Genomic DNA, 26,487 nt, shown 5'->3' on the forward strand with positions numbered 1-26,487 from the left:
GCTGAAGCAGACACTGAGCTCCTTCTCTGGGCACCTGAAAGGGGGCACAGGGCGTGAGGATGATGTTTCCACCAAGACTGCTTAGTGCATCTTCTCATCAGTAGGAGCTGCTTGGTGGGGGTGGTGGCATGGGGAGCATCATTTGTCCTCTAGGACTGGACACCTCAGGCCTATGAGAGGCAGCATGTTGTAAAGGATTTGATGTCAGGATTCCTGGGTTCTGTCTAATCCTGGGCCATTGACTAACCCACTGTGTGATTTGCCAAGTCACTTCCCCAATCTGAGCCTCAATTTCCTCTCTCGTTAACTGAAGGGTTGTGTTGTAAGACAATCTTAAGGTCTCCTCTGGCATTTATATCTTCTTTATCTACAAAATGATTGTGTATGTGGCTTGTCATGAGGATTAGAGATAATTCATGTCAATGAAATTATATTTGGTACAGAAAATATGTAACCTTCAAAAATCCTGGGATCCTTCCCTCTGGGAAATGGGTAACCTGAGTCCATTCCCCACTAAACAGGACCATAAACAGCAGCATGAGTCAGATACCACCACCAATATTTATTACCCAAAGCAATCTGAAAGAATCGGGCACAAGGTCATGGCTTTCCCAGGTTACAAGAAAATCAGAACCTCTTCAAACTCACCCTCCACCCATAGCCAAAGTAAGGAATTAAAGGCTATAGCTCAAGCTATGTCATGGCTACTATATCCTCATTCTTGATGAATAGTCTCAAAGTCACAAGTTGGCATGATGCGATTTAGGTCCAAATCTTACCAGAAAAAAAACCCACCATTAAAATAAGACAAGTTCATAGAAATCATTCCAACAGAAAGATACCAAGAGCCTTTACTGGTAATGAGAAGAGGAAAGATTTTCTGTTTATAATAACCAGAAAGAAATGGAATTGTCTAATAACCATCAATTGAGTATGAGCCTAGTTGAGTTGAGTATGAGTCTAGTATGGCATGCTAATCTTCTGGGGTGGGGGAAGTCCTGTGAGCTAACCAAACCCTCCTGGTCTCTGGTGAGGTCCACAAGTAGCAGTTTCCTGGTTGCCTGGTGACAAGGGACCGTACTTAGGGGTGGGGTGGGGCATGTTGGGGAGGGGGTCCTTCACTTGGCAAGTGAAATAACACAATTCTCAGAAGCTGTAGAAGAGGCAATCTTCAAACAGTGCTGAGTAGTCCTCTTACTTTTTCCACATTAGGGGAATGCAAACTGGTTTAACCTCACATGACATTTCCTTTTTTGTTTGTTTGTTTTTTTCATTTGATTGGTTTAAAAATTATCCTGGATCCAGGAAAGTGATGCCTTTTCTTATTCTCCTTTTATCATCAAAACAAACAGCCAATATGTCTCTAGAAACATTGCGTTCTAAACTGGAAGTGCTGACAAGCCTTCATCCCAGACCCTGAGTGGCAGATTTTCATGAAAATCAGCTTCTGGGCCAGTTAAGTCTTCATGAAGTTATCTTTTCATAACTCAGCCCTCATTCCCCTCTGGGTCAGTAGCAGTGGAACCAGGAAACCCAAGGGCCAGATTTCCTTCCTCAATGAAGGCACTCCAGGAAGAAGGGGAGTTCCTGGCACCTGCCTGCCAAACTCTGCTCTACTTGCTGAACTTTGCTCAGCATGAACAGGGCATTCTGGCTACAAGTTCCCCCAAACTATCCCAGATTGTATCTTTAAGGCACACCAATTCCTCTGCGTAAGGACTTCTGTTCACAATGAATTGTATTAGTTATTCTTAACATTCAAAAGAGAAAGTTCTGCATCAGAGCCCACCCATGTCCAGCCATTGTGCCCTGAGATCCCGAGACTGGGGATGAGGGCAGAGCCCATTAACATCAGGGATTCTGGTCACTGGGGTCACACTTGAGCATGATTTTCAACCCCAATCCCTTTTTAAATGTTTCAAAGGCCTCCAGAGCTTTCTCCAGAGGAAACCTATGGGTGACGAGGGGTTTTACATTCACAGACTTGGACGCAAGCATCGAAATCGCCACTGGCCACCTGTAAAAGAGCACGAGCATTATATTCAACCTTCAAGAGGAAAGAGCCAGGTGCCCCAAACTACCAAGCACTAGATCAGCTTGGCCGTATTTATTGATAGCACTGTGGTTCTGCAAAGCCAATTTTACAGGCCAACAACCCAGGAAAGGACCTTATGGCTTATGATTCAGGGGTACAGAGCCTATTTGCAATTGCCCCCACCCCTCACCCACCCGCTCACTCTGCCACGTCTGCCATGGAGCCTAGAATTCCTGTGGCATGAAGGTACGAGGCACATGGTGGAGGCCACTGGGAAAAGGCAGAGAAGCCGTGGGGAGGCAGCCCGGGACAATCCAGTCACACCCACTAACAGCTCAGCTTACTGGAAAACTGGCGCCCTGATGAGGGCAGGGAGTTACAGCCTCTAAAGCCAGGAGTAAGGGACACTGCTGGGGAGAGGGGTCCCAGCCAGAGGGCCCCAGCAGGGGAGAGGGTGGAGCTGCAGAACATGGGTGGGGCAAACTAAGACCCTTTCGCTCCCCAGGGTGGGCCCTAGGGCTAAGGAACGGAAGCCACAGGACTTGATTTCTTCCTTTTGTCCTCCTTTCTCTCCTTCTTCCCTTTAAATGGAGAAAATGGAGACCTGGTAACTTAAGAAAATTGGGGGATAAAGGGGCCTAGGGCGGATAAGCAGCAGACACTCAGTAAGACTATGCTTCAAAATCCCCTCCTTCCCTCCCTCCATCCATCCTTCTGTTCCTCCCATTCTTTTTTTTTTTTTTTGAGACAGAGTCTGGCTCTGTTGCCCAGGCTGGAGTGCAGTGGTGCGATCTCCGCTCACTGCAATCTCTGCCTCCTGGGTTCACACCACTCTCCTGCCTCAGCCTCCCAAGTAGCTGGGACTACAGACACCCACCACCATGCCTGGCTAATTTTTTGTATTTTTAGTAGAGACAGGGGTCACCGTGTTAGCCAGGATGCTCTCGATCTCCTGACCTCGTGATCCGCCTGCCTCGGCTTCCCAAAGTGCTGGGATTACAGGCATGAGCCGCCACGCCCGGCCTTCCCATTCTTTAATTGGGAGTGAGTGTTCTCTCTTTGGATCCCTGTTATATCACACAGCTATCAGTGTGGCCAGGGAGTGCCCCCCATGAACAAACAGGCAGAGACTCATGGGCCAGAGGCTGAGTGGGGCCTGCCATGGTCTTGCTGGAGGCTGGGCATCCCGGCTCACCCACAGCATACTCACGTGTTGCAGTATCGAAACACGCCCTTGATATCCACCTCCCGGATGGCTGCATGCAGTAGGGGTACGGTGGTCATCTCAGAGCCCAGCCCCACAAGCACGAGGGTCCCACCAGAGCGAGTGGCCTGTAAAGGAGGTAAAAACAAGAAAGCTCAGAAGATAAGAAATACTGACTTCCCACTTACAATAACATATTGTCATCACACAAGTATCTTCTGGTTGCATCAGCTGAGCATCCAAAAATTCCTGAGAATGTGATTTGTGTACACTGCTGAACTGCTCAACCTGCCAACCAAACTTAACTGAGCGGGAGAGTAAACACGGTTTTCTTTAAAGTGTATTGTGAAAACATACACTTAACCCATGGAGAACCAGGCACAGTGGGAACATCTTCCAAAGCTTTACAGATTCGGGACCCAATATTGGCTTCAGCCACCTCCACAGTCTAAGCACCTGTTCCTCCCCCAGAGCGCCCCTCCACAGGCAGCACTTTCATCAGAGCTGGAAGGAACCACTGGCCCTCTAAGCTCACCGGTGGTGAGAAAACTATAAACATGAGACAGATGGGCCACTTGTATTCTGTGGCTTAAAAAAGGCTTCATACATGCGTGCAGGCTGGCAGTTAGAAATCTTTTTGTTCCAGAGATGTTTACCTCAACAGTATGAGCCATAATGGGTTTTGTCTTCCTTGAATGTTTATCTGCCTTATCAGTTCCCCACTTGGAGTGGGTCACAGGCAGCAGTGAAATTTCTCCTGAAAATTTCCCCAGAACTCCCTGTGAGTGCTGTGCTTGTTCCAGAGCTTTCTGGGGATCACTGTGCTCAGTGCGGTGAGAGACAGAACAATGGATAATTCAATCATGCTGGTTGTTCATTATAGTCAGCAGCAAGCATTTATTGGGACCATTCTAGGTGCTAAACAGTGGAACTAGAGAAAGGCACATGTCACAGCCTCCATTTCTGAGATGAAGGATACACCACGATCACAGCCTCCACTTCTGAGATGAAGGATACACCATGGAGAGAGGCCTGTGGTGCCGTGAGCAAGAGGTGAACTCAGGGTTTGAGTGGTGTGGGAGTGACTCCCAGCGCTGCTGCTTCAGAGCTGTGGCACCCTGGACGTGCCCTCTCAGCCCATTTTCTAGGGAAACTACTTCCTTATCAGCACTTCCTCTCTACCTGGTGGTGAGGAGGAACACCAACTGGCCATTCCAAGCTGCCAAGATGCCAGCAGTTTGCTGACCCAAGGTCAAGGAATGCTGGAACCACCTGGACACTATCCTGTAGGTATGGCATCTGCATCAAGGATATGACATCAATTCTACCCCAAGGCATCTGCCATGTCTCATCACAAACACTATCCAGTCATAACCTGGCAGGACGGCGATGCTCAGATTTGTCCATATTTGGTCCAGCCACCTAGCCTGCTCATTGGCGGGGTGGCCTATAGCATTCTACAGCACCCGTCATGCGTGACGTCAGGAGAGACACTGCTTCAGGCCTGGTGAGGCCCATGGGTCACATTCACCTCCATGCCTGCCTCAGGTAGCCTGGCAACCAGGCCCCCACCATCAACAGTGGAAATGCCAACTGTTCCAAATGCTCTAAGGGCAGGGCACAAGAGGAAGGAGAGCCATGTCCTTTAAGTCCCCCAGCTTATACTGCCTCTCTGCGGGGTGGAGGTCACTTACCTGCTGACAACTTGAAGACAGCAGATGCAACCTACTCATGTCTTAGCCCTCAAAGTGCCCAGCACAAAGCCTGGCACATGGTAGGTGCCCAAGACATACCATGGGTAGATCAATCACACACAGATCCATTGTTCCTCTCTGAGCTTCGGCTTCTTTTTGCCCCTTCCCACATGGCGACCACTGCCTATGACAGTGAAGCAGAGGGCTGGCGGACTCCAGCTGAAACTCACGACACTGCCAAGGTGGCACCCGCTCCTCCCTCTCCCCCACTGGTTCCTCAGCTCCCAAGGCCGCTGGGCAACTTAGTAGGAGGAGGTCTAGGCAGCTCTGCTACTCAGCTTGGTGGGTCAGCCTTCCCTAGAATGTCTCATGTGATGCAAAGTGCCCTCCTGCTGTGAGCCTCAGAAGGAAGGAGGAAGCCCACGCTACCTGGGGAGGCTGTCTGGGAGGCAGGGACAGGAGACCCCTGTGGTGGCGGCTGCCTGCTACCCTCTCCAGCCCTGGCCCTGTCCCCCCACCCTAGCATGGTTGTTCGTGCCCTCCTTCCCTTCCTCTCCTAAGCAGCGGGGCAACTCAGGCACTGGGGCCTGGCAGGGCTGGGCCTGGGCCTGACTTGGCTTGCCTCAAACAAACCACAAATCCCTCAGCATAAAACGGTAACTGGTTTTCAGGGCTGTTGTGCAGATTAGGCCTCATGTTTATAAAGTACAGCAGAGAACCTGGCATACAGTAGGGCTTGGAACCTGGAAGTTGTTATTTTCCCTTCGTTTCCTCATACTTTGATCTGTCAGTGCCACTCCCTCCCACCACCTCCAACTTCCTGCCAACTTCCCATAAGTGGCTGGTGGGTCGCTGAGGGGCGAATCAGGCATTGGCAGCTTATCTGTTCCTAGGTCTGGGAGACAAAACAAGCAGTAGTCAGCTGTGACCCTGGAAAATCACCTCACCTTCATGACTAACTGAATGACTGTCACTTTATATCTATGACTAAAAGACTGCAGTTTTCCTCAATAAAATAAGACAGAGATTTCCCACATACAATTAAGGCATGGTTCCCTGTTTTTCTTCTTGATCTTTTTACCAAAACTACTGCACTTTTAACATCACAGATATGATCATGAAGCCAACTGCGTCCCCAAAGTGTGTGTCCTTAACATTTTTCAAGGCCCATGTATAGCTGTTATCTTGTGTGAACCTCAGATGGCCCAATGAGGATGTAAGGCAAGTTCAAGTACAGGCTCCACACTAGAGATAAGAAAACAGAGATGGCAAAAGATGAATAAGTTTGGCTTGGGGCTCACGCAGCAAGCTGGTAAAGAAGTTTGACTCCCTACTTCTGCCTCCTTCACTCCCCTACGCTGATTCCCCAAAGCTGCCCTCAGCCCACTCACGTAGATGCCTGCCTGGATGGAGGCCTCTGCCCCGTGCACTCGATGGTGACTTCCGGCTTGCACCCCAGCAGACCTTCTACTTTCCTGGCGATTTCCTGAGGGCTCTCCTTGGAGATCTGGAGGACTAAATCAGCCCCAATCTCCTTGGCTTTGGACAATCGGGTAGCAGACAGATCTGAAGGTAAAAAAAAAAAAAAAAATTCTTTCAAACAAGAGAAATCTGATGACTCATTAGGAAGAAAAGAAAATGGAGGTGTAAGATCTGATGGCAACAAAGCTCTCGTGCAATGGGTGGTGGTGTTGAGCCCAACACACATACTCTTCACACCAAGCTTGTCCAACCTGCAGCCCACATGCAGCCCAGGATGGCTTTGAATATGGCCCAACACAAATCTGTAAACTCTCTAAAAATATTATGAAATTAAAAAACAGTTTTGTAAAGTTCATCAGCTATCATTAGTGTTAGGGTATTTTATGTGGGGCCCAAGACCATTCTTCCAATGTGGCCCAAGGAAGCCAAAAGATTGGACACCCCTGCTCTACACCCTCATATACCCCCATATCCACCATACAGCTACACACACACACACACACACACACTCTCACACAAACTCTCTCTCTCTCATAGCTTCTCCTAACACAAAACACACACTCACACTCCTCTATATCTCCACAATCCATATGACACTACACACTCACCCCCTCCACACTGTCACGGATAACCTCTCCTCACACATGCACATACAGTAGGACCAGCTGTTTCCCAGTCAAGGAGATTGATAAAGAACAAAGTCTTACCAGTCACCACTACTTGAGCTGCTCCCATTGCCTTGGCCACGAGCAAAGTGACTACCCCGATTGCCCCTAAACAAAGCAAAAGATATAAGATTGTGAAATATTAAACATCTGCTCTCCCACTTGTCCAGGCCACGGACAGGAACCATATCTTTTGTGTGTCTCTAGCATCTATCCCAGTGCCTGGCATGATAAGACCTTAGCGGCTGTTTGTTGAATGCAGAAGAGAATGAATCCATGAAGAATTATTCTCTACATAAAATACGCTCCTAGTGCTGGGTTCTATTTAATCCTCTCAAACCTCAGAGCTAAAATTTTCCCACTTACTCCTGGGCACTAGTGGAGATAATCTCAAAGAACCACGGGATTCAAGGAAACACAAACTTACTCAGAAAATAAGAAATCTCAGAAGGTCTGGACTTGTTTTCCTGTTCTTTCTTTGCCCCTACCTTCGTGAGAACCCATCACACCTCCCCCAGAGAGAGACATATTCCTTTTAGGTGCCCTCTGAGGACCACCTGGAGAGGGTTCTTAAGTGAGCTGGCTCCCTGGGTTGGCCCAGGTGCCCAGATAGCCCCAGGATACTCAGGTATCCAAGGATTTGCCTGAGACACCTGCTTCCCCATAGTATCTGCATGCTATGTGACACTATGGTTTTAATATAAAAATCAGACCCACAGAATGAAAGCAATGCAGAATATCTTTGGGGGTTTACTTTTTGTACACATCCCCTAAGAACAATTTTGTGAGCTCCCTCAGAAAACAAAACACTGAAAAATAATACCTGAAATGTCCAACAAAGCATGATTAAAAAACTACATGGCTACTAAAAATTACGCCATAACTCTTTATCTATTGACATGGAAAAATGTTCACAGTATATTGATTTTTTTTTTTTTTTGGAGACAGAGTCTTGCTCTGTCACCCAGGCTGGAGTGTAGTGTTGCAATCTCAGCTCACTGCAACCTTCGCCTCCCGGGTTCAAGCAATTCTCTCACCTCAGCCTCCTAAGTAGTGGAGATTACAGGCGCCCGCCACCAAGCCTGGCTACTTTTTGTTTTTTTAGTAGAGACAGGGTTTCACCATGTTGGCCAGGCTGATCTCAAATTCCTGACCTCAGGTGATCTGCCTGCCTCAGCCTCCCAAAGTGCTAGGATTACAGGCATGAGCCACTGTGCCCAGCCTGATTTTTAAAAAAGAGTAGGTAAAGGAAGCGTATTTAGCATGGTCTCAGAAAAAACCAACTAACTAAAAGATTCTATACCCAAATATTAATAGTGGTTCTCTTGGGCTAATCGGTAATGGGATTACAGGTGAATTTCTGTGTGTGTGTGTGTTGGGGGCAAGGCATGCATGTGTGTGGTATGTGTGACTTATTTTCCTTTTCTATGGTAAAAAGGTACTGGATCCATGCAGATTTTTATAAGAATCTGTCACCTGAGTCCCGCAGTCTGCTAGCCCATTGTGGCAAGTCTATTCTACATCCATCACCCCTCTTAGGAAGCCGTGTGATCACTTATTTGGCCAGCCAAAGAAAATCACAAACAAGTATGAGGAACACCAGATCACACCCACAAGGAGTGTGAGCGTACTGTCTGGGTCACCAGAATGATTCGTTCTGAGGCTGCTAGGGCTTGTTCCAGATGGCTGGAAAGATGGCTGGAAACAGGGGATGAGAGAAGGCAGCTAGCTACAACCCTACTGCAGGCAGACTGCTGGCTCACAGTGGTGTGGGAGCAGACCACTGCTCACTCCTCCCACTGGCTGGGAGCAGGGTCTACCTTATTCATAGATGGGACTAGGCCATCACTTTGCTGGTATAATTTGAAAGTTCCAAGAGTTGCCCTTCCCTTTACTATCAAAAATATTTCTCTAAGGTGGAGGTTGCAGTGAGCCAAGATCACGCAAATAAAAAAATTTTCCTAGTTTCCCATCAAGGGTTCAAAAATAATCGCCAGATTAATTCCCTTTTTTTTTTTTTTTTTTTTTTTTTTTGAGACAGAATCTCGCTCTGTCGCCCAGGCTGGAGCGCAGTGGCATGATCTTTGCTCACTGCAACCTCTGCTTCCCAGGTTCAAGTGATTCTCCTGTCTCGTCCTTCCATGTAAGTGGGACTACAGGGGGCGCACCACCACACCCAGCTAATTTTTGTATTTTTAGTAAAGATGAGGTTTCATCATGTTGGCCAGGCTGGTCTTGAACTTTCGGCCTCAAGTGATCCACCCGCCTCAGCCTTCCCGAGTGCTGGGATTATAGGCATGAGACACTGTGCCTGGCACAGATTCATTCTTTTTGTTTGTTTGTTTTGAGATGGGGTCTTGTTTTTTTTGAGACAGGGTCTTGTTCTGCCACCCAGACTGGAGTTCAGTGGCACAATCATGGCTCACTGCACTCTTGACCTCCCAGGCTCAAGTGACCCTCCCACCTCAGCCTTCTGAGTAGCTGGGACTATAGGCACACACTACCACACCGGCTAATTTTTGTATTTTTTTGTAGAGATGGGGTTTCACCATGTTACCCAGACTGGTCTCGAACTCCTGGGTTCAAGTGATCCACCGGCTTTGGTCTCCCAAAGTGCTGGGATTATAGGCAGGAGCCACCGTGCCCAGCCAATTCATTCTTTAAATGAATGAAAGGGCTATGTTGCCTAGGACATATAACCCTAGTTAATATCATGTCCACAGATACTCATTTGTTTAGCAAAGTGCTAGTCACTGAGGGAATGGGACACTGCAATCCTCCTTTACCCAGAAGGATTCTAGAACAAATCTCAAGCCTTGGAGGGGGAATGAGATGGGCAGAGGGTTCCCTGAATTCCCAGTCAATGAACCCGCAACAGGGTGGCTTCTGTTTCTTACCAGCTCCACACACAAGGACCTTGTGTCCCAGGGTAACTCCGCCTCTCCTGCAGGCATGGATCCCCACAGAAAGTGGATCAATCAGGGCGCCTTCCTCAAAGGTGACATTGTCAGGAAGCCTGAGGAGTCAATTGACACACAGAGATCCTCTGAGTTAACTACAATGCTAACAATAGTATTATATATGCCCAACGTCACTGTAATAACAACAATAGCTAACATTTATTGAGCATTTATTTATGTGCAGAGCAATGTGCTAAGCAATTTATATACATTAACTCACGTAAATCCCTGGAATAGTTCTGTGGTAGGTACTATCATTCCCATTTTACAGATGAGGAAACAGGCGTGGTGGGTTAAATGACTTGCCCCAGCGGTCCAAAGCTAGTGAGGAGCCAAAAGCGTTCAAATTAGAAGCCAGATATGTTCTCATCACAGAACCCATGCCACAATGTCCCCATCTGAAGAAGGCAACATGGTTTTCTTTGGGTAAATCAATTCAGTGAAATGAACACATTATGTTTTCTTTAATGTGCTATCCAAGGTACGGTATGGTGGTTATCATTAATAAATGAAAAGTTTGTTTATTTATTTACTTATTTATTTATTTATTTATTTTTGAGATGGAGTCTCACTCTATCTCCCAGGCTGGAGTGTAGTGGCGCAATCTCGGCTCACTGCAAGCTCTGTCTCCCAGGTTCACGCCATTCTCTCACCTCAGCCTCCTGAGCAGCTGGGACTACAGGCGCCCGCCACCATGCCGGGCTAATTTTTTATATTTTCTAGTAGAGACGGGGTTTCACCGTGTTATCCAGGATGGTCTCGACCTCCTGACCTTGTGATCCGCCCGCCTCAGCCTCCCAAAGTGCTGGGATTATAGGTGTGAGCCACCATGCCCGGCCGAAAAGTTTATTTAACAAGGAGTTAATATGGCCACCTTCCAGCATCTCATCTGCTTCCCAAACTTACAGCCTTTTTAGTTTCACTTTAGCAAACAATCCTGACTATCACCAGTTTTGCAGAACAGTGATTTAGCAATGGGCATCACTCTGATAGTCGCCTCCCATATTATACATTCCAGAAGAACCACATCTGAGGACAGCAGCTGCCCCGCTGACCCAGGACCAGTTAAGATGAAAGGACCTGTTCCACATAGCAGATTAAATGCTGTGTCACCTTCACTCTGGGTTCTAGGTTTTCACTTCCACTGGCATCTTAACCCTATCAATAATACAGCTGATGACGACAGCAAATATCTGCATAAAGCTTTACAGATTAGGAAGCATGCTCATCCGTTATCTCATTTAATCCTCATGAAAACCATGTTAGGCAGGTAGGGCAGGCTTTTTTTAAAAAACATTTATTTTACAGAAGAGTAAACGGAAACTCACTGACATGACATTAAGAGAATTGCCAAGGTTATGAAGCTAGGGAATGAAGGCCAGACTTAACAAAGGTGTCCTGATTCCACATCCTCTGCCTGTCCCATATCAGCTCCATCCTGGTATGAGCAGCTGTGTAGCTAATATTAATATCTAATTTCTGCTAGTTCCTCACTGCCCAGGATTTACCCAGCACCCCAAATCTCCACACACAGGAACAGGAAAACCCTCAAGTTCCAAAAAGAAATAAATGTGACAGCCAAACCATGTGCTCATCCCCATGATCCTTTCAACACTGTCTCCAATCTTCAACAGAATAACTCGGAGTCCTCCTGTCACTGTCCCTGATCCTTGACAGAACTACTCACCAGGCCAATGGAGGCCCAGCTGCCACCCACCACCCCCTTATCCCTTCCCCTCGGCTTCTTTCCCATCACTTCCCCTACTCCAATCCACTCTCCTGCTCTGACTGCGGTCACACTCCTTCTACTCCCCCTAGAAGTATCCCTTCTATATAATAGGAAAAAGGTGAAAATGAAATTGTGAAGATGCCTAAACTCTCTTAGGGACTCCACAGGTTCCTAGACATGCCTGCCCTTCCACATCTGGGCCTCCTGAGGAACTCATAAGGGCTCTATGCAGAGGGTGGCTTGCGTGGAAACTACATCAAGGAGAGATGGGATTGGGGAAGGTGATGAGGGAAGATTGTTATCAGGAAGAATACTCTACTGATTAAGCAGATGCTGCCTCATCCGCCTGCACCCAACACAGCCAACTGTGTTGGAAAGCCACCTGGTGTGGAGGCAGAAGCATGCACAAGGAGTCCTGGAGGCCAGCCCCGCTGCCACTGACCTTGGGAAAACCACTGACTCCACCCTCCCCAATCTTGTCCAGTGGGGGTTGATGGAGAACGAGGATGAGAAGACTCCAAGTTTCTTCCCAGCCCCAACCTTTCATGCTTTATAAACACCAGAGAGTGATGAGGCAACTTGGTAGTTTTTACAATGGGGTTCAGGGAACAGTCCAAATTGGGTAACGGATGATCAAGAAGCCAAGGAGGAAGCAGGAAAATAGAAAGAAAATAGATACAAAAATAAAGAGGCTGTGGTAGTATGGGAATCCTAAAAAGACATCAGAGAGGAGGGCTTGGGTCTAGGGAAGAACTGGGGACACAGGCAGAAAGCCCCCTGGGAGGAGAAGAAAGGCAGGGCTGTAGGACTCCCCAGAGACCTTCCTCAGCACCCCCACTGCCACTGCCACTGCCAGCCAGAGCCCCATCATTCCCTATAAACCACCAGCACAAGGCTCTCTTTCAGGCCTACTCCTGCACCTCCATGCCCAGACCACTAGGCCATGACTATGGCATAGCTTGGTACCATTTACTGAGCACCTACTATGTGCCAGACCTCATGCTGGAGACTTGATATGCTTTTCTCATTGGATCTCATCAGTAATTCTGTGAGGGAGGTACCATTACTATTTCTATTTTACAGGCGAGGATATTGAGGTTACAAAATTTAAGTGACTTGCCCAAGGTCACACAGTTGTAATTGGCAGAGACCAGTGGGCTTCACCACTATGCTCTTCTGCCTTCCATGAAACTTTCGTTTGGTGTCTTGACTTGGAAAGGGCCCCAGAAAGATGGGCCCATTCAGGAACCACTTGCTGAAAGGTGTACTCTGCACATGTAACCTGCTTACTTCTAGAGCAGGTTCAGGTGTTGACTTAAACCCATCACAAGGTCTCTGGCCTGTGACTCCTCTCAAGGCTCCCAGTGGGCCCTAGAAAAACTCAGATCTGTCAGACTGCTCCTGTGACTGGCACCTGGCCTCCATCGGACAAGCCCCATCCTGGCTGAAAACCACCACTGAGGCCAGGCTGCGGTGGGGGAAGAATGCATCTGGGTTGGGTCAGGGGGAAAGCGGCACTTCGGCACCCTAGAGCTCCACGGCTGGGGCCATGGGGGGCCACGCAGAAAGGGAGGCACTTTGCTTCCTCCAGACTCAACTTCACAATTTCAGGGGTGAGAATTGGAGTAGGGTAGGGGAGTGGGCACAGGGCAGGAGCTTGAGACTCACAGAGACCCCAGTTTGACTCTTGGTTGTGCTCTGTGCCCAAGTCAATGAGCTTCCTTCTGCCTTGGTTAACCCAAAAATGGTGCCCACCTCAGCATTATTCTTGTGGAGATTAAATAAATTGAAGCATGCAAACCACTTATTAGCACAAGGGCAGGCACATAGTAATAATAATTATGACTCTCCATGCATCACCTTATTTAATATTTTGGCGATTAAATGAAACTGAAGCAGAGAAAAGTTAAATCATTTCTCCAAATTCACTTGCCAGGAGGGAGTAGATCCAGGATCCCAGAACTCAAGCCCTGGCAGCACACCACACCTCAGGAAATGTCAGCCGTTGCTGTCATGGTGTGTTGTTGCTATTGTCGAGGTCATTGTTGTTACAGGTTTCCTTTCTGGTGGTTGCAGTGGAAACTAATAACAGAGGATGAACCACAGGAATTCCCTCCAGGATGTCTGCAGAGGGTGAGTGATTTCAGCAATAATTTTCTATTGTTGCTCTAAGTAAGGGAAACTGGAACTGAAAGACTAAAACCAACCACTGTGAGTCAGTCTTATTCCTAGGGAGGCTACCCTCTCTCAATGCCACCAAGAAGAGTAGCCTGCCCAGGCGATGCCTCATGTTTGGAATTAGGAGCTGAAAGAATAAAGAAATAACCACAGGAAACAGCACCAAGTTAATGAAGGGAAAGAGGTCCCAGGTGACCCAGTGGGACTGTGGACACTAACTTGTAACAAAAGGCTGCATTGTGCTTATAGAACTGGCAGAGGTTCCCATCATCAGGGGGTGTGGCACAGAAGAAGATGGAAGGTGACAGATTGTATCGGCCCATCTTGCAGAATTCATCATTTTCTCGGGGAGCACCAGATTCGATGGCAACACGATCACCTGGAGAGGAAAACAAAGATGGCACCATGTCCGAGGGTGGGAGCAGAGTCTGCCTCCTCTTTGGTCCGGTTCTTTGTTTTCCAACCTTTGAAAACAGCAGAAGCAGAGATGTTATGAAGGCTTGCATGCTCATGGGCAGATGCCAGATGAGAGAATCTAGCTTAACGAGCCACCCTCCTCCCTGGGGACCCAGGGTGTCTTAGGCAAGTGAGGAAACTCGGGATGAAGCACAGAGTCACTCTGGGGGAAAAGGACCAGCCCCCTCCTCCACAGCCCAGTGTGGCCTGCCCTTTTTCCAGCTCCTGCAACAAGCCAAGCCACCCTCTATCTCCACAGCCACTTCCCAGCTAAGGCAAGCCAAGTATAGTTCCCATCTCACACTGCTGGAAAAGGGGTAGCTAATACATGGAGTTTGCAGGCATTTTTTCTTCATCTGTTTGGAAGATAGAAAGCAAAGCCTTTACAAAGACAACAGCTATAATTACAGCATGTTTTATGTCCAGTTTGGTCGTTTTTAGACAATAATTAGGAGTCAACTGATTCCTGGTAGTAGAACTGCAAAGGCCAATGACCTGCAGAGGCCTCATACAGTGGAGAGTAATACTTGAGGCTTCTGAACAGCCAGCTCTATTATATTTCTACTCTATGCCTCACAACGACTGCTTGGAAACCCAGCCTGAGAACTGCTCTCTAATTGTTTTCTTTTTCTGTCTTTTTATTATGAAGAATTTCAAACACACAGCAAAATTCAAAGAATTGTATAGTCAACACCTGGATACCCTCCTCCTACATTCTTCAAGGAACATCTAGCTATGTTCACTTTATCACATATCTATCCATCTACCCCTCCATCTCATCTCTGTCTCCTTCCATCAGTCGATCTTCTTTTCCGATGCACTTCAAAGCAGGCTGCAGACATCAGTATACTTCACCCTTAAATGCTTCAGCCTGCATATCATTAACTAGAGTTCAGTATTTGTTTATGGTTCTTTTTTAAAGGTATCACCTAGGAATGCAAACCCCTTTTATGATACAGAACACTACCACTACCTCAGAAATCTTATTCCTCTGTATCTGTTCCCAGTCAATCCCCAGCCCCATCCCCAGAGGACACCAATGTTTTTATTTTTATTTTTTGTACCACAGATTAGTATTGCCTGTTCTAGCACGTCACAAAAATGGGATCATACAGTAGATACTCTTTTGTATCTTTCTTCTTTCAGTTAGCATAATGCTTTTCAGATTGATCTCTGTTGTTGTGGTATTAACTGTCTGGCCAGGTGTGGTGGCTCATGCCTATAATCTCATAATCCCAGCATTTTGGGAGGTCAAGGCAGGAGGATTGCTTGAGCCCAGGAGTTCGAGACGAACCTGGGCAACATAGAAAGACCTCATCTTTACAAAAAAATTTTTTTTTAATTAGCTGAGCATGGTGGTGTGTACCTGTGGTCTCAGCTACTTGGGAGGCTGAGGTGGGAGAATCAATTGAGCCCAGGAGTTCGAGACGAACCTGGGCAACATAGAAAGACCTCATCTTTACAAAAAAAATTTTTTTTTAATTAGCTGAGCATGGTGGTGTGTACCTGTGGTCTCAGCTACTTGGGAGGCTGAGGTGGGAGAATCACTTGAGCCCAGGAGGTTGAGGCTGCAGAGAGACATGATCACACCACTATATTCCCACCTGGGTGACAGAGCAAGACTGTCTCAAAAACAAATGACAGTTTGTTCCTTTTCATGGCTGAATAGTGTTCCCATAGTTGCTCAGGCAAGAGAAGATGCACCCCGTGCTTGCCTAATGTAAGAGTATACCACAGTCAGTATCACCATTCTCTTACTGATGGAAAAAACCTGGTTGTTTCCAGTTTTCTCATTGCTGGTTTTTTGGGTTTTTTTTGTGTATGTTTCTTTGTTGTTTTTTTTTTGTTTGTTTGTTTTTTGAGACAGGATCTCACTCTGTCACCCAGGCTGGAGTCCAGTGGTGCAATCACAGCTCACTGTAGCCTCGACCTCCCCAAGCCCAGGTGATCCTCCTGCCTCAGCCTCCCAAGTGAGGAAGGAGAAAGAAAAAAAGCAGGCAGACAGTTAGGGCAGGTCCTTGGTGGAATTCTTTCAAACAAAACAGCAGTCTGGAAAAAATCAAGCTGCAGGCACATAAAGAGCAGCTTGGAAAAATCAAGCTACAGGCACAGATAAGGGAGTGAGGCCCAACATAGAAATGCCTTGGTTCTCTGTGTAATCAGTGCACTCCCAGGAAAAAGTTTCCTCCCCTTTTTGGGCATGTACACAGTGGGCTCCATGAGAACTTGCATGGGGTGGGGTGGGGGCTTGCTTAAAACATGCCCGTAGTTGCTCAGGCAAGAGAAGCTGCACCCTATGCTTGCCTAAGACATGCTCGCAGCTGCACAAATAAGGGAAGCTACACAGGTAGCTACACAGATAAGGTAAGTTACACAGCACCTACACAGATAAGGGAAGTTTCTTATAAAAACCTTCGTATTTAACTGTAAAACAACAACCCTCTTTCAGGTCCCCCGCTCTGCTGCTGAGAGCTTTCCTCTTTCACTTATTAAACTTTCACTCCAACCTCACCCTTGGTGTCCACACTCCTTAATTTTCCTGGTCATGAGACAAAGAACTCTGGATAACACCTCAGACAGTGAGATTGCTATATTGACCCTAGACTGCTTTACAAGTAGCTGCAACTATAGGTGCATGCCACCATGCCTGGGTGATTTTTGTTTTTGTTTTTGCAGAGACAGGGTTTTTCCATGTTGCCCAGATTGGTCTCAAACTCCTGAGCTCAAGCAATCCTCCTGCCTTGGCCTCCCAAAGTGCTGGGATTACAGGTGTAAGCTACCATGTCCATCCCTGGTTGTTTTTCATGACTATCTTGCCTCCTCATCAAGGATGGGAATGCTTCAGGATTAGTCAGTCTTCTGCTCCATATTTATTTTTTCATAGTGTCTACTGTTGTGCTAGTCAAATTTTTATTGCTAAACATAGAATTTGTGGATTGGGGGAAAACAAACCATGGGACACAAATGTCATTAGTATCTAGAAGGGCATTACTTATTGGCAAAAATTTCCCCTGGAATGTGACAAGTAAAACCTGTTGGTTAAAGACAGTAGCACTTTTCTGTTGTAAAGGAAAGGGAGACAGGTAGGAATAATTGAGGACAAATAGTTATCCTGAGGTTTTGGGATGGTTTAGATGGTTCATCTTCATGTAGGTACCCAGCCCTGTGTAGGGGAACTCCAAATACACTGTCAATACAGCAATGGCCTCCATGTTTCCAGAAAACAGAAAGCAGACTTACAGGGGATTTTAATATCACAGGTATTGCTACACATCAAAGTTACGATTGGATTTAAACTCCGTCTGAATTTGGGGAGTGACCCATACCAGCGAATCAGAGACCAAACTAGAAACCCTGGCAGACCCTCCTGCCTGAACCCAGGCGTTAACTCCACAGAGAACAGCAGAAATCTCCCCTTCTAGCAGCCAGGAACAAGCTGGAGACCAACATGGCCAAACGCCAGTGAGGCAGGAAGCCATGTGGCAGGAGCCCAGGAAAGGACCCACAGGCCTTATCCTGCCTCAGTACCTGGTTATTCAGGAAAAGTCTGACGGATAGACTCCACTGGGAAGAGGTGCTTAAACCTACTACACAGAATAGAGTTTACCAATAATGGTGGGATCAAGTCCTGCCATTTACCAAATGCCCATTGTGTGCCAGGTACCAGGAAAGGCACATCACAAAATCTCCCTTCCCTCACCATAAACCAACAAGATGGTGTTATCTCTGCTTTAGCGATGAGGAAACAGAAGCTCAGGTGGTCACACAGTGATAAGCTGTGGAGATTTGACTGTCTGCTCACCTCTGTACTAGTGTTCAGGCCCTCTGGAGCCTGAAGAGGATGTTAGGAACCTGGTGAGGCCTGCTGAGGCCATGGAAGGTCTGGCCTTTATTCAGCAGGGACATGATAAGCAATTTTTCCTAAGTCTTTTTGTGTTGAAAGTACTCACAGAATAGTGTAGAGTCCTGGTACATAGTTAGTGCTCATTAAAATAAGTGGTGAAGGCTGGTCTGAAGGTAGTGCATCATCTTAATTGATTGTTCATACTCAGTTACAGATAATACTCCTTGTTCTACTCTTTCCCCACTTCTCACTACTGCACTTGACTAGTCTTAAAAAAAAACAGGAATGCTTCCATGCCTTAGAGTTATTGACTTATACGTATGTTTGTTCATTTGTTTGTTTGTTTATTTATTTATTTGAGACAGAGTCTTGCTCTGTCACCCATGTTGGAGTGCAGTGGCATGATCTCAGCTCACTGCAACCTCCACCTCCCAGGTTCAAGAAATTCTCCTGCCTCAGCCTCCTGAATAGCTGGGATTACAGATGCACGCCACCACGTCTGGCTAATTTTTGTATTTTTAGTAGAGATGGGGTTTCACCATGTTGGCCAGGCTGATCTCGAACTTCTGACCTCAAGTGATCTGCCCACATAGGCATCCCAAAGTGCTAGGATTACAGGCGTGAGCTACTGTGCCTGACTGACTTATATGTTTAAATTCTGTAAATGAACATTAGGAAATATTTGATGAGTTGTGGTCTTCTTTCTAGATTAGTTGATTAGAATTTTAAGTCAAAGTTAACAAATGAAAGACTTTAAATCCAAATTTTGTATCCTAAGGAAAGAAAAGGACCCACAGAAATCCTTATGACCACCAAAATATGTCTGTATTTAGCTGGGCATGGTGGTTTATGCCTATGTAATCCCAGCACTCTGGGAGGCCGAGGAGAGCTGATCACCTGAGGTCAGGAGTTTGAGACCAGCTTGGCAAACATAGTGAAACCCAGTCTCTATTAAAAAATACAAAAATTAGCCAGGTGTGGTGGTGCATGCCTGTAATCCCAGCTACTCAGGAGGCTGAGGCACAAGAATCACTTGAACCTGGGAGGCTGAGGTTGCAGTGAGCTGAGATGGCACCACTACACTCCAGCCTGGACAACAGAGTGAGACTTCATCTCCAAAAAATAAAATGTCTATATTTGTCTCTTCCTTCTATCTCCTCTGACTCCCTCTGCTTTCTCTCCTGTCCAGTGAACTTTCTGCAAATTATGCCTATGTCATTAAGGATGAATTCTTCCACCTAGCCTTCAAGATCCTCCATAATCAGGTGGAGTTTTCATATTATTCAGTTTTACCTTCTAATTATGATTATATTATGATAACATGACATTTCACAGTTTTACAGTGCTTTTTAAATTTTATTTTATTTTATTGTTTTGAGATAGAGTCTTGCTTTGTCACCCAAGCTGGAGTGCAGTGGTGCAATCATGGCTCACTGCAACCTCAACCTCCCGGGCTTAAGTGATCCTTCTGTCTCAGCCTCCTGAGTAGCTGGAAATGCAGGTGCACACTACCACACCCAGCTAATTTTATTTTTTGTAGAGACAGGGTCTCCCTCTGTTGCTCATGCTGGTCTCAAACTCCTGAGCTCAAGCAATTCTTCTGCCTCGGCCTCCCAAAGTGCTGAGATTACAGGTGTAAGCCACCATGCCCAGCCAAGTGCTTTTTAAAGGGGGACTTTTATAAAGATTATGCATGTTTATCATCTCCAATAACTCCCCAACACAAAACCTCTGCTCTGAGCAGCACAGACTTATCTGCACCCAGATGTGTTACTCTCACATCTGTAATTTTGTTGTTCCCTTCCTCTTTTATTTTTTTTTTTTGAGATGGAGTCTCGCTCTGTCTCTCACCAAGGCTGGAAAGCTGGCATGCAGTGGCATGATCCCAGCTCACTGCAACCTCTGCCTCCTGAGTTCAGGCAATTCTCCTGCCTTAGCCTCCCAAGTAGCTAGGACTATAGGCGCGTGCCACCATGTCTGGCTAATTTTTCTATTTTTAGACAGAGTTTCACCATATTGGCCAGGCTGGTCTCAAACCCCTGACCTCAAGTGACCTGCCCACCGCAGCTTCCCAAAGTACTGAGATTACAGGCATGAGCCACCGCACCCAGCCTGTTCGCTTCCTCTTAACTAGAATATTAGCTCTGACCTCTTCAATAACTCAAATATAAAACCGTTCTCAAGTATGAAGATGCTGGGTAGCCCAGTGGTTCTGAGCACTTGCTCTAGAGTCCAAAAGACCAGGGTGGGTATCCCAGTTCTGAGACCAACTAGTGAGTGACCCTGGGCAATAACCAGGCTTCAATTTCTTCTTCAATTAATGAAGATAATAATGCCTATCTCATAGAGTTGTTTCAAGAATGAAATAAATAGCCCAGGTGCAGTGGCTTAGGCCCGTAATTACAGAACTTTGGAAGGCCAAGGTAGGCAATTAACTTGAGGTCAGGAGTTCAAGACCAGCCTGGCCAATATGGTGAAGCCCAGCCTCTACCAAAAATACGAAAATTAGCCAGGCATGGTGCTGCATGTCTGTAATCCCAGCTACTTGGGAGGCTGAGGCACGGGAATCACTTGAACCAGGAGGTGGAGGTTGCAGCAAGGCAAGATTGCACCACTGCACTCCAGCCTGGGTGACAGAGCGAGACTCCGTCAAAAAAAAAAAAAAGAAAAAGAAAGAAAGAAAGAATTGTACATCTAAGTGTTTAACATGGAGACTAATGTAGCAAATCAATAAATATTAGCCACCTTCTTATTAATGTTACTACTGTTAGATGTCTAGCTCAAAGACCTATCTCCTCCATGAACTCTTTAACCACCTCTGCCCACAACAAATGCCCTTTGAACTCCTAAAGCCTATTCTTTCCCACACCTAATTGTACCCTATGGGCTTGCTGTCTAACTGCTGGTATTTATGAAGGGCCTGACATCTAGTGTTTCCATATAGAACTAAGCATCCAGGGATCATATCTGCTCATTTTTCTATATCCCTCAAGGCTCGTGGCATAAGACTGAGCTCATTGTGGACAACTGACTAAACCCTTGTTATAATTTACATTTACAGAACCCCACTCTTTGTTATAATTTATAGTCAGAGACTTTGTCCCACAGGTGAGAACCAATCATCAGTGGCTGTTGGAAGCTATAAACATTCCATTAGGAAATAACCTCATAACACCACAGGAGCCTTCTTGACTTCCACTAATGATGAATGACTTAACATCCCTAAACAAGACACATGCCTGACTGCTTCACAGCTGGTCAATCCCTCTCCATGTGGTTGGGCTCAGAGAACTTTATAAGTAACACAGGATGGGGCCTCCTGTCAACCTCCACCTTCCCCCAAATAACGTGACCTTATTTCCGGGCTGCACAGCAGCCTCACCGGTAAAGGAAGGTTAAAGCCAATAGCTAACTATGCCAAGACAACTTGGATTTAATTCACGGTATCAGGGAACAACACAGCCTGCCACAGCTGAGAATTCCTCCCTCTGGAAAAATGAATTTAGTAAATCTAGGAAAAATAATGGTGGTTTCCCAGCCATCTAATAAAAATCAAACATTATATCCAAGGCCGTGGTTCACAGCATGTAAAGGTAGTTTGGTTTCCTGTGCCTCAAATGTTTTCTCCAGCCCTTTACCTGGCTTATTTCTTACCTGGCTCCAGATGTTGGATTAATTGTCCCTTCCTCAAATGAACCAAGGGTCTGGGTAAAATACACTAATCACACCCTGCATTCTCCTCTACTGCCCTTAACACATGGTGACTAAGTAACTATCTGTCTGCTCCAGGTCCCTCTTTTCTTGTGTAAGGTAAGATCCATGTGAGTATGGAACAAGATTGTCTTGTTCCCTGCTGTACCCAGAGCTTAACAGAGGGCCTGGCCCAAAGAAAGCATGCACACATATTTATGTTGAATGAACACATAAGTCGAAGGACCTTGCTGACCTGGTTTTAGGTGCTTTACCGATGATCCCACTTTTTCGACTGTTCCCGAAGCTTCATGTCCCAGCACCATGGGCTTTTTCACAATAAAATTCCCAATTCGACCATACTCCCAGTAGTGGACATCTGAGCCACAGATTCCAACAGAATGCATCCTCAGCAAGACCTCTGATAAAAGAAAGGAAGAAAAAAACAGTGAGAGAGGGAACAACCCCTATCACTCTGAGGTGACCTAGTGATTTCCCTTTGCCCAGGGGAGAGGGCTGGGTTACCAGGCCAGGTACACAATTTAGGCCACAGAGGAAATCAAGCTCCATAGCAACCCTGATTAAGTCTCGCAAGGCAAACAAGCTTCCACATGTGGTGGCTAATTTTATGTGTCCACTTGGCTAGGCTATAGTGCCTGGTTGTTTGAAGATACGTGTTGGGCATGGTTAACTTTTAAACCAATAGATTTTGAGTAAAGTAGATTACCCTCCATAATGTGGGTGAGCCTCATCCAATCAGTTTGAAGGTCTTAAAGGCAAAGACTGAGGTTTTCTGAAGGAGAAGGAATTCTCCTCAAGACTGCAACATCAACTCTTACCTGAATTTCCAGCCTGCCCTTTGTACACATACACACATACATACATACACATATATCTTAGTGGTTTTGTTTCTCTGGACAACACTAACCAATACACTGGGTAAACAATATATCATTAGTAGGATGAAATGTACCAACCACTTAAGAGAACAAACTATTTTCCAAAAGATAACTTTCCAGACAATTAATATGCTATGCGTGATTCCTATCTATTTATGAGAACAGGTCTGGTAGAATCTCAGCTTGGCAACATTTTGTGAACTATCAAGTTGAGTTCTTCACGCCTATTGTTTTCTTTCTTTCTTTGTTTCTTTTTTTTTTTTTGAGACAGAGTCTCCCTCTGTTGCCCAGACTGGAGTGCAATGGCAGGATCTCGGCTCACCGCAATCTCCGCCTCCCGGGTTCAACCAATTCTCCTGCCTCAGCCTCCCAAGTAGCTGGGATTACAGGTGTGCACCACCATGCCAGGCTAATTTTTGTATTTTTAGCAGAAACGTGGTTTCGCCATGTTTGCCAGGCTGGTCTTGAACTCATGACGTCAGGTGATCCACCTGCCTCAGCCTCCCAAAGTGCTGGGATTACAGGCCTGAGCCACCACGCCTGGCCAGTTTTCTAAGTTTAAAATAATGATGGTACTGAGCCCCTTTGGTGGAATAAGTACCAATAAGTACCATCATCTCTGACTGAGATGATGGTTATGAATACCTCCCTGAAAAAAACACTCTGCCTTAGAAAGACAAAGAGACCCAAATCTCTGCTATGCACTGCACTTGCCACAGACTGCCAGGGGTGGCTCTTCAGAACTTTCTTCCTCCTTAGTTTTAGTGAAGAGTAAGAAATGGCAGGGTGAATTCTCAGGTCAAATGCAGGGAAAAGTCATTTGAGTTAGGAAAATCATCTCAGAATTTCGTCTCTTGAAGTAGCAATTGGTAGTGAGAGATTAGATTTGACTTGCTAGAACACTCGCTGAAATGCACTCTTTTCGCTTCCAATGCAAGTGTAGCAAGAGACGAGAGTGCAAGCAGAATGCTGCTTCAGGGAGAAAAGCTGTACCAGGAGCCAAGCTTGTACTCTGGGTCCAAGACAGCCCTCATTTGGCCACTTATGGAATCAACAGTCAACTTTTCAGGACACAGTGAGGTAACTCTTTCACTTCTCTGAACATGGTATCTTGGTGAAAATCCTTGAACCCTAGCTATACAATACTTACTCAGCACCCACAGAATGGTTATATTCTATCTAGTCTGTATTCTTACCACTTACAAGTCGATAACACAACTGACCTTTCAGTAGCAAAGCTGTGGATCTACCAGGAAAGCTGCCTTTGATCTGATGTTCACCCAGAAGCTGCGGTTCTGGTGTGAGGTAGGACAAAGTGGGAAAGGACACCCCCAACTCCTCAAGGGCAGAAAGGGGACCTGACTGTCTAGGTGTGAGAGGGGGAGGGTGAGTATCTACAGACACTCTGACCATTGCCCCCAGCCTCACTTCAGGGTCCTGCACGATTATGACAAAGTGGAATTCCAGGGATGGGAGGGATTAGAAAGCTGTCAGCAGGGATCTGCCCGAGCCAACAGACAAAAAGAGATGGAAATGTTCACAGCACCTGCCATGTGCAGACGGTGGGCTGGACTTTATCCTCACCATAGCACTCAGTTTGTACATGAGAAACCCAAAGCTGGGAAGTTGCAGATGCCACCTTGGGCGTCAGCATGTCAGCTAAGCCCCACAGGCTTAGCAAGTGAGAGACGTGGAAGGAGTGGAGTAAAGGTGTTGGAAACCCTGCCCCAGTGTGCTCACTCACTTTCTGTGCTTGGTTGATTAGGGCAGGGGACAGGGCCTCATGCAGCACCTCCCACCCCCACTGGACAGTAGGTCCTGGGCTGCCCCACACTTCGGTGACTGGCCTTCCTGGGGAGTGGGGAAACTGGCATGATGCTCCCTTTGCTAAAGATTAAGTTCTGTAGACTCACTCCTTTTCAAAGTTTGCGTTAGGGTTAGGACACTTGGCCACTCCAACAGCAGCTTCTGGTAGATAGGGTACACTGTCATTAGGTCAAAAGAGGAAGAATTCTGTCATTGGTCCATATACTTCACATCAAAAACTCTTTGGGACAAGTCAGCAGTCTGGTACGGTAATTTTTCTGATTCTATCACTATTCTTTTTATTTCATGTAGCAGCCAAGATAAACTTCCCACGAGGTCATGCTGTGGGCAGTACACACTGTTCTCAGCATAAGAAAAGCATAGGTTTTTAATGGACGCAAAAGTAATAAACAGTTGGAAAAGAGAGGTAAGGGAGCAATATACATGTGACTCCAAAGGAAACAACAGGAAATAACAGAATATAAGTCATGTTTCCCAAGAACTTACCATTTGGGCCTGGTTCAGGGATAGGATAGTTCTCCTAAAAGAAACAAAATTGAAAAAATCATTTAGCATGCATAAGAACTTCACCTTATGAACATTTTCCATTAAAAACAATTAGAGTTTCATCATTAGTTTATTTCTTCTTAGAATTAACACAAGCTCAGACCACACTGCTCCTGGGTGCATGCCTGAGGGGATACGCTAAATGGCACGCTGCACACACCTGCCTAGCCCTTCGTCACTTTTCTGCATAACACAGTGACGGACCCAACAGCAGCATGCCCAGCATACTCACAGAGCATACAGAGGACCACACTTGTTGTCAGTAGTGACATGTCACAGGGTGAGATGAAGTTCTGACGCTGGGTTCCCTCCCTAGGAAACAGCCTACAAGCCAAAGGCCAATCCTAACTGAGGAAGAGCTGACTCTAATTGCTGACCTCATCCCACCCACTGGTGCAACTTCGCCAGGACTAAGGAAAAAGCACAGTCCATGTAACTCTAGGCAGAAGGGATCTTTGGGTTTCTAGATCTGCCATCCGTATCAGATCCTGCCTTCCTGGAAAAACATGTTCTTAGATACAGATTTGTTTGGTCTGACAAACTCCTCCAGGGAAAGGATGCAGGCGTTTCTGACAGTTGCACTGAGGATGTTTCCCGCTAGACAGGTAGGAGAAAGTGTCTGTGCTGCCAACCTCTTTCCTTTACATCGGCACAAAGACTGATACCTGGTCCTCTTTTCCTAAACTTCCCATGTGGCATTTGAGGGGCCCCTTGGGAACACATAAGACCTGCATTTTGGCCCCTCTCACAGGTTCAAAAGTAATCTGAGCTATTCTGGTGTTCACAGCTAGTAGTAGTAGCAGTAGCAGCAGTAGTTGTAGTAGTGTTGGTTTACTAAGCCTTCTTTCCTCATTGTCAACAGGCTAGGAAAGTCCTAGTGACAAGGAAGGCCACTGAGTGGCCAAATCAATCCAAGTGTTCATTTTATTCTTTGAAGGTAATCAAGAAAAGAGATGTACCCAGGCGCAGTGGCTCATGCCTGTAATCCCAGCACTTTGGGAGGCTGATGCGGGCAGATCACTTGAGGTCAGGAGTTTGAGACCAGCCTGGCCAACATGGTGACACCCATCTCTACCAAAAATACAAAAATTAGCCGGGCGTGGTGGCACGTGCTTGTAGTCTCAGCTACTCAGCAGGCTGAGGCAGGAGAATTGCTTGAACCCGGGAGATGGAGGTAGCAGTGAGCCCAGATTGTGCCACTGCACTTCAGCCTGGGTGACAGGGTGAGACTCTGTCTCAAAAAAAAAAAAAAAAAAAAAAAAAAAAAGAGAGACAGAG

General features: G+C 46.4%; 1 pseudogene across 2 annotated transcripts in view; it reads right to left on the reverse strand.

The window, feature by feature from the left end:
- Positions 1-542: 542 nt before the first annotated feature.
- The window catches only part of SORD2P (sorbitol dehydrogenase 2, pseudogene), a 58,948-nt pseudogene continuing 33,003 nt past the window's right edge, over positions 543-26,487 (reverse strand). For both annotated transcript variants that reach the window (NR_146394.1, NR_146393.1), the window contains exons 3-10: positions 25,150-25,183; positions 22,194-22,358; positions 14,167-14,326; positions 9,978-10,096; positions 7,123-7,188; positions 6,325-6,499; positions 3,246-3,367; positions 543-2,017 (exon numbers count right to left, since the gene is read on the reverse strand). The product of NR_146394.1 is annotated as a sorbitol dehydrogenase 2, pseudogene, transcript variant 2 (transcript). The remainder of the gene's footprint in view (positions 2,018-3,245; positions 3,368-6,324; positions 6,500-7,122; positions 7,189-9,977; positions 10,097-14,166; positions 14,327-22,193; positions 22,359-25,149; positions 25,184-26,487) is intronic.

The sequence above is a fragment of the Homo sapiens genome, chromosome 15, assembly GCF_000001405.40.
Source record: "Homo sapiens chromosome 15, GRCh38.p14 Primary Assembly".
In the NCBI taxonomy this organism is placed as follows: Eukaryota; Metazoa; Chordata; class Mammalia; order Primates; family Hominidae; genus Homo; species Homo sapiens.